Source organism: Homo sapiens, chromosome 2 (assembly GCF_000001405.40).
Source record: "Homo sapiens chromosome 2, GRCh38.p14 Primary Assembly".
Taxonomy (NCBI): Eukaryota; Metazoa; Chordata; class Mammalia; order Primates; family Hominidae; genus Homo; species Homo sapiens.
Genome location: NC_000002.12, coordinates 14,190,985 through 14,198,341, shown reverse-complemented (window position 1 = coordinate 14,198,341; position 7,357 = coordinate 14,190,985). Strand labels below are relative to the sequence as shown.

General features: G+C 35.9%; 1 annotated feature.

Annotated features, from left to right (window-relative positions):
- Window positions 734–1,260: an enhancer, noted in NCBI's record as "NANOG hESC enhancer chr2:14337206-14337732 (GRCh37/hg19 assembly coordinates)". NCBI's record gives its function as "activates a minimal SCP1, AML or CMV promoter by ChIP-STARR-seq in primed H9 embryonic stem cells {active_cell/tissue: H9 hESC(primed)}" and the evidence as "EXISTENCE:reporter gene assay evidence [ECO:0000049][PMID:30033119]".

Genomic DNA, 7,357 nt, shown 5'->3' with positions numbered 1-7,357 from the left:
GTCTATGGCATTCATGTTCCTACCATTCTAGACTTACTATTAAATATGTTAAATCTTTCTCTATCTCTTAGTATTGCTGAAGCTGTATCATGGGCCGTTTTATTTGTGCCTAGTGCTAATCCCATGTAGAATTATTTTGGGGGAGGGATAAGATATGTAAAAATATATAAAGTCAGGTGGTCTTCCATATTCTAGGGTTATCCAGTCTGGATTTCTATTTTTTTGTCATTTTAATTTTTTAAAAAGAATTTTTTTAGATTTGGAGTTGGAGAAAAAGCAAATGCATGTCCTCATTTTGCCAAGCTAGTACCATTTTGAAAGCTGTTACAGCTTTGTTCTCTCTATACAGTTTTTGATATTTAGCTTATCCGTTGAAGCTAGTTTCTGGATGAACCGACATATTCTGTTTCTCAGACAAATGGCAAAACTGTCTTATTTTAGTGTTTCAGTCCATCAGCCAGCATTCCTGTGCTCACTCAACCAAAGCCTTGGCAAAACTTAGGATGGCTTTGGCAAAAATTGTTCTGACATGATTTGACAAATTGGAGGACACAGTAAAATGAACTGCATTGTCATTTCACCTCCACAACTTCTGCAAACATTCCACTGCTGTTAGTCTTGTGTAGGCCATTCACCCAGAATAAGGAATGGGGTATGCTAGTAAAGTCTGCTGTAGATAGGTGATGGGTAAGTAGGAGTTAACCTGGTAAAAGAGGATGGAGACACAAGTTCAAGGCCTAAGGAATTATACATGGGCTGAACCCAGCATTGACAAAAGAGGGCAGAGAGAAGGAGTGAGGAAGAAACCAAAACGACAGGGCCTACTTAGGTCTCTACTTTGCTTGCTAGCCCTGTGACTTGTAAGGAAATCCCTTCTTTAATTAAATAAACATAACACTACAAGAGGAAGTGAAAATTCCTACAGGAATATCAAGGTCATTGGTATGGATAGTAGTTTTCCTTCCTCCTGACTTCTCCTAGGGAACGCTATGTTTTGTATTTCAGGAAGGTGATTCTCCTGCATGAATTTGCTTTCCTTCCCTGAGTTTTCACATCATACTTAGTGTTCTCATCCTGTATAGTCCCCCATTTTTGTATTCTTTATTGGTATTGTGGCCAGGTTTCATACTGAGTCTCTCAGGTTTAAAACATCTTTACCTCTCTAGTTTCACAAAGCATCTCTGAGAGTAGTTATCAGGGCAATCAAATAGCGCTGTGAGTGTATTCAGGGCTCCAGGAGCCTCTGGATATCAACGTTGCAAATTTCGTCAGGAACTTGAAATAACACAAGACATTTCTTTATATAGCATGCCTCATTCTTACAACTTATTAGTAGATACAGAGAAGGAGAGTAAGCGGGGGAAGGGAACAGACAGAAGAGAGGACAGGAGAGGTGAGAAGAGGACAGAGAGGAAAGGAGGGAGGAGAGAAAGAAAGAATATTTCTTACTGTGCAATTCTATCCGGTGTATTAACCCCCTTTCTATAGGCATTAATATACTGGTAGAATTGCACTGCATGAAATTTCCAAATTATTAGACAAAACTTGCCACTCACTATAGAACAGGAAAATTCTATATTATTACCTGCCTAGCCATTTTTGTGGTTTTTCTTGCAATTCTGGGACAGATTTTGCTTTCCCATATTTTGAATCATCCTCTGCAGATGCAAAGAACCAGAGACCAGAAAGAATCAATTTCAGTGAGAATGGGAGCAGCTGTCATGCACTGAATTTCTAGAGATGGCAATGGCTGTGATTCTAGTGGGACCTGCCCAGTGTCCAGGGGTTGGGATTGGCATTGGAAACTATGTAACATATGCCCAACAGGAGAGACGGTAGTTTTCTAGTGAACCAGTTTTGTGACATGATTTTAGGTATTTTCCTGACTTTTTACCCCAAAATCTGGGATCCTACTCTTCCAGAGAACAGTTCAATATTCTTTTGCATAAATTTTTCCTATTTAGCCTCTGTTGCTTGTAACTAATAACTCTCATATACTGAATAAGTCACTTTTTCTTTTTGGGACTTTCATTCTTGTGAAATTGGCTGATTCGTCTATATATTGCAGTAAAATAGTCTATCATAGTAAGATTCATTAAAGACTCTTCATGTTAGAAATTATTTCAATAAGAATAAGAGTTCCTTGAATTTAAAAAAAAAGCAAAGAATGGCTCATGCCAACTTTTCAGAAACTATTTCACACTCATTAGTGATTTTCTAATATCAGATGATTAATGACATGACAGTAAACTTCTTACTCCACTCAGTGAATTTCTGATTAAGTTAGAAATATGTTAATCACAGAAGTAAGAAATTCATGTTTTTTTAAAAGGGATTTGATTATAGTTCTAATGAGAAGTGATTTTTAAAGGGGTGTACAATTTGCCATTTTGAACAAAATAACACTTTTTATGGTAATTGAAATATGCAGAGTGATATAATAAAAGGAGTTTGAGATGTTGTCTGGGAAGGAAAAGAGCTCCAGGGGAAAAAGGATTGATAGTCAGAACATATAAACTGAGCATTCCATTATTTTCCAGGGGAAGGAGATTCAAGAATTTTTTTTAAGATCAAAATAAAGATTTTTTAAGACCATCAGTTTCTTTCTGGAAAATATTTCAGAGTATTTGACATTTACATACCTTTATGGACAATGTGAGATATTTTTTCAGGTCACCTGAACATACGTATATTTAAAACATTCACCAGTAAAGATAGTTCAGCTTTCTTAAGATTGGGCATATATCTTACAGTGCGCAAAACTTACCATTTTGAAAACATGCAACTTTAGAAGAAACAAATTTATTTGTGCAGATTTCACCAATAAAAACTCTTTTAAGGCTATGAAAAAAATTTTAAATCTAACAACACAAAATTTAAAATTTGAAGGGTTAATTCCCCTTGGGTGATTTTTGCGATGTTTTACCACAAGCTGTAACAAAACAAAAAGGCAAAAGCATATTTTTTCAATCACCTAAAAAATCACTGACACTTTTGTGATAAATTGGTTTAACATATAATCTAATTTTTTTCTTATTAGTCTGAAAATATTGATAAGAAATAAGTACATTTTCTCACTACCCGTCTTAAACATTCATCAGTGTGATGAATATGCATGAATTGTCTGGTGTTTGTGACTGACACACACTTCTTTAGATGTGTCGTTGGTCTAGATAGTGTTTTATCTCAGGTTGAAAGCTCTTCAAAGCCCAGGACTATGCTTTTTACCTTTTTCCAATAGTAGTATTGAATACCACAGGTCTTTATCAGATATTTGATGATGTCCTTATTAGTGTACATTTAAACAGGTTTGCATTTCACAGCCTACGAAACAAGCATTTGCAAGATGGTATATGAATCTGGAAGTCTAATTAGCCAACTTTTGGTATCCAGAACAATCTTGTTTTTGTGGTTTTATTTTGTTTTTAAAATTCACAAATTTTTTCAAATATTACATTCAGCTGAACTTTATCAAGTACCGCCTAAGTGCCAGGCACTGTTAGATGCTGAGACTCAAGGGTGAGTGAACAGAGCTGGTCTTTTACCTCATGTCCAGTGACAGACATATATTCATTAAAAAAATTACGCCAAAATCAGTAAAAGGGGAACTGTGGTAAGTGCTGTGAAAACATGTTAAAATAAAATCGAAAATGTGGAAGACATGTTCTGTGTTTTAGTCAGCTTTATATTCCCAAAGACAACCAAATGACTGGCAAATACTTCTTCACTAAAGGTCAGTTTAATTAATCATTTCCACCTTTCATCAAGATTGTTTGTATTTATAATTGGAAGGCTAAGCTGGTTAGAGAGATCAGGACAATGTCCCTGAGGAGTGACTTCTGATCCAAGAGCTGAAGAATGAGTCTGCAAGTCCCAGGTAAATACCAGAAAGAAGAGTGCTTCAGGCAAGGGGAATGGCTTCTGTAAACAACACAAGCTCCTGGCAGCTGGTCACTGGTACAATTGGCCATCCCTTGATACTCACAGCACACTGTCCACTCACAGATATAATGACTACTCATACATCCCAAACTGTCAATATCCAGCTCTTCAATATGAATTTCAAGAGAAAACAATTGGAACCGGTGCCCAAGCAAATAGAGAGCAAAATTAAGACAAGTCGATTCACAATGGTCTTGGGACAAGAGATGGATAATAAAAACCTACCTATTCAGTATAAAATAACAAGCAGAAGTGACCAGTCTAGAGGAGTATCCTAGACATGTCACTCCACACAGAAAGGAACACCAAATTCCTAATAATGATGAAAGGTGAAGTTCTTTAAGGAAATATCCAAATAAACAAACGAAAATGTTAAACAGACACTTAACTGCACCCTCAAGGAAATGAAAATCCATATCAATTAAAACTAATAATTGGAGGATGATTCGTAATGGATTTGAAAATGTGCCCCTCAGATCTCCCTCCGACAGGACTTGCTGCTGTCATGATGACAGCAAAGAGCTGGCAGTCTGGGGTTGCCTCGGCTGCAGAGAACCATTTAGCACAAATCCAAGCTGTTCTCAGGGTGGCCGGCATCCACTGACCAACCATGGTCAGAATATAAAGCTCTGCCCAATATGGCCCTACACGGGTCCTCACTAATGAATTATTTCAGTTCCAGAGCTCCCTGTGAGATTGGCTGACACTATTGTTTAAACTACAGCAGAGCTTGAATTCTGCCTCTGCCCAATACTGACTTATTCCTCCACCTTTCACAGGTGTTGATTCCAAGATCACTTCCCAATAAACATTCTGTGCTAAACTTGACTCAGAGTCGGCTTCCTAAAGAATCCAGCCTGAGACAAAATGCAAGACATCCAATAGCAGATCCAAAATTAAGAGCTCCAGATGAAGTGAAAAATGGCAGCACTAAGGAAAGAAATTAAAACAAATTATGCCGTAGTGTTTAAAATCAAATCAGAACCAGCAATGTCTACAATTGACTTGAAGAAAATATAGTCAGTTATGCTGAGAACTAGCTTTAAAATATTCTGAAAAACGAAGTTGAAATGAGCCAAAAGAAAAGCAATTAGAGACAAAACATACTACCTGGAAGTTAGGTGCTTCCACAAAGATTGTGAGTATTAAATAATATAAGCAAAATACTATTAGAGTAGAAAATATCAAATAGATAAGGCTTTTTTCTAAAATATGCGTGTACATGATACTTATCATGGTTTGAAACAAAAACACGTGCAGGTAGTTTATTGGAGAAATTATCTCAGGATACAAGGAGGGAAGTGGAGAACCTAGGACAGGGGAAAGGTGTTATAATGAGCATGTTTCCACAATGGACCCCTTGGGCTCAGAAGTGCAATGTGCAACAAACCTTGGCATAATCCCACCAGAAAGGAGACTGAGCCATTTAGCACCTGATTCCCATCCTCCATTGACAGAGGTGAATTCTGGGAACATTAACTTTCCCATGTTGCCAAACACCTCCCGGCACTGGCAAAAGCCTTTAGAAAGAGAAGAGGAGGAAAAAAAAAAACCCAAGTTATTGAGGTGGGAAACTGAAAGCATACTGAAAACTGTCGGTGCTGACAGACAAATTCAGATATGGCAAAAGGATATTGGGCAAGGCGTCATTAGCTTTTGAAAAAATAATTTTTAAAAAATTGAGATTGAGATTAAATTTGGTGAGGTAATTAAAATTCAAGAATTAAGAAAATATTGCACAAACACATTGGGGGAAAAAGCCGCCTATGGAAGGGGAAGAGAAACCCCCATTTCCACATGGAATGGCATAAAACAAAAAGAGAGTTTTCCAGAGTATTGTAGTAAAATAAATATGTCTAATAAATGTCATAGTGGAAAAAAATCAACTCTCAGAAACCAAATAACTCCTCATTGATGTGGAATCTCTGGCATTGAATGGTTAACCATAAGCACTGGATCCACAATGTCTTTTGTGATTATTATTTTGTCCCCTGTACGTTGTATTGGTCTGATTAAAGGTACTCAATAAATACTTATTGAAGAAATTAACATATGAGGAACAGGATTTAATGCTCAATAGCATTGGTAATTATATCTGCAAAGAGTAAGTAGTTGCAATAATAATCTTTGTTCAGAAAATGTCTTAAAATATTACACAAAATTAGTATGCTCTCCAATTAAAGAAGTAATAATTCTTCAAGCAAGATATTAGGAAAAAGTACAATCTTATTTGACTTCTCAGACACAATTATTGCTAAATCACTACACAGAGCTTGACTTGCCCATGTATGTACACACATATAATCACTTACACAAACATGTGTAGGTGTGTGTTTGTGTATGAGAAGCAGGTTGTTAGTATAAGCTTAACTCTCGAAATCACAGTTGGTTAAAATATGAACAAAACTATAGTACAAGGCCAGGTGCGGTGTCTCATGCCTGTAATCCCAGCACTTTGGGATGCCAAGGTGGGCGGATCACCTGAGGTCAGGAGTTCAAGACTAGCCTGCCCAACATGGAGAAACCTCCTCTCTACTAAAAATACAAAATTAGCTAAGTGTGGTGGCACATGCCTGTCATTCCAGCTACTCGGGAGGCTGAGGCAGGCAGAGAATCACTTGAATCTGGGAGGCGGAGGTTGCAGTGAGCCAAGATCAAGCCATTGTACCACCCCAGCCTGGACAACAAGAGTGAAACTCCTTCTCAAAAAAAAAAAAAAAAAAAAAAAAAAACTATAGTACTAATAAACAATACTTAAAAGTTAAGTTTAATAGATATACTAAATTAAATAGAAAGGAATAGAAACAATACTGAATACTAAAAGTATCATAAGCATTAATGTCAAAGAGACAATTTAAACTGTTATTATTCAAAGGAAAATGTTTAACATTAACATTAATTTCATAATAACAAAGAATAAAAATGAATTAACTGACTTTCCAAAAAGAATTTTATAGTAGAGTAAAAATGACTATTGGGAACAAAATGTGAAAATCAATAAAGATATAATAATAAGTTATGAAATGGTAAAATAGGAGACTTGAGAAATAAATCCCACAATTAGTAAAACAAATATATAAGCAAGTAGTAAAAGGGAAGCGTGAAATATACATAAAATTAAGAATTAAATGAGAAGATAACCACAGACACAATCTCATTGAACAGATAAAGCCTACATGATATACATAATTTTCTATGAATTATAGTAACCACAATTGACTTTGAACTTCAACTTCCAAAATAATATGGAGGCAAATATAACATAAAGAGCCCCAGAAATACTCACAGGCAAATTATTTCAAGAAGCAGTGATTTTAATGACATTTAAGCTATTACAGAAGATTCTGTGTAAATATTTAAAAATATGAGTTATAAGCAGGTTAATTGCAGATTTATTTGTAATAGCAAAAAATGT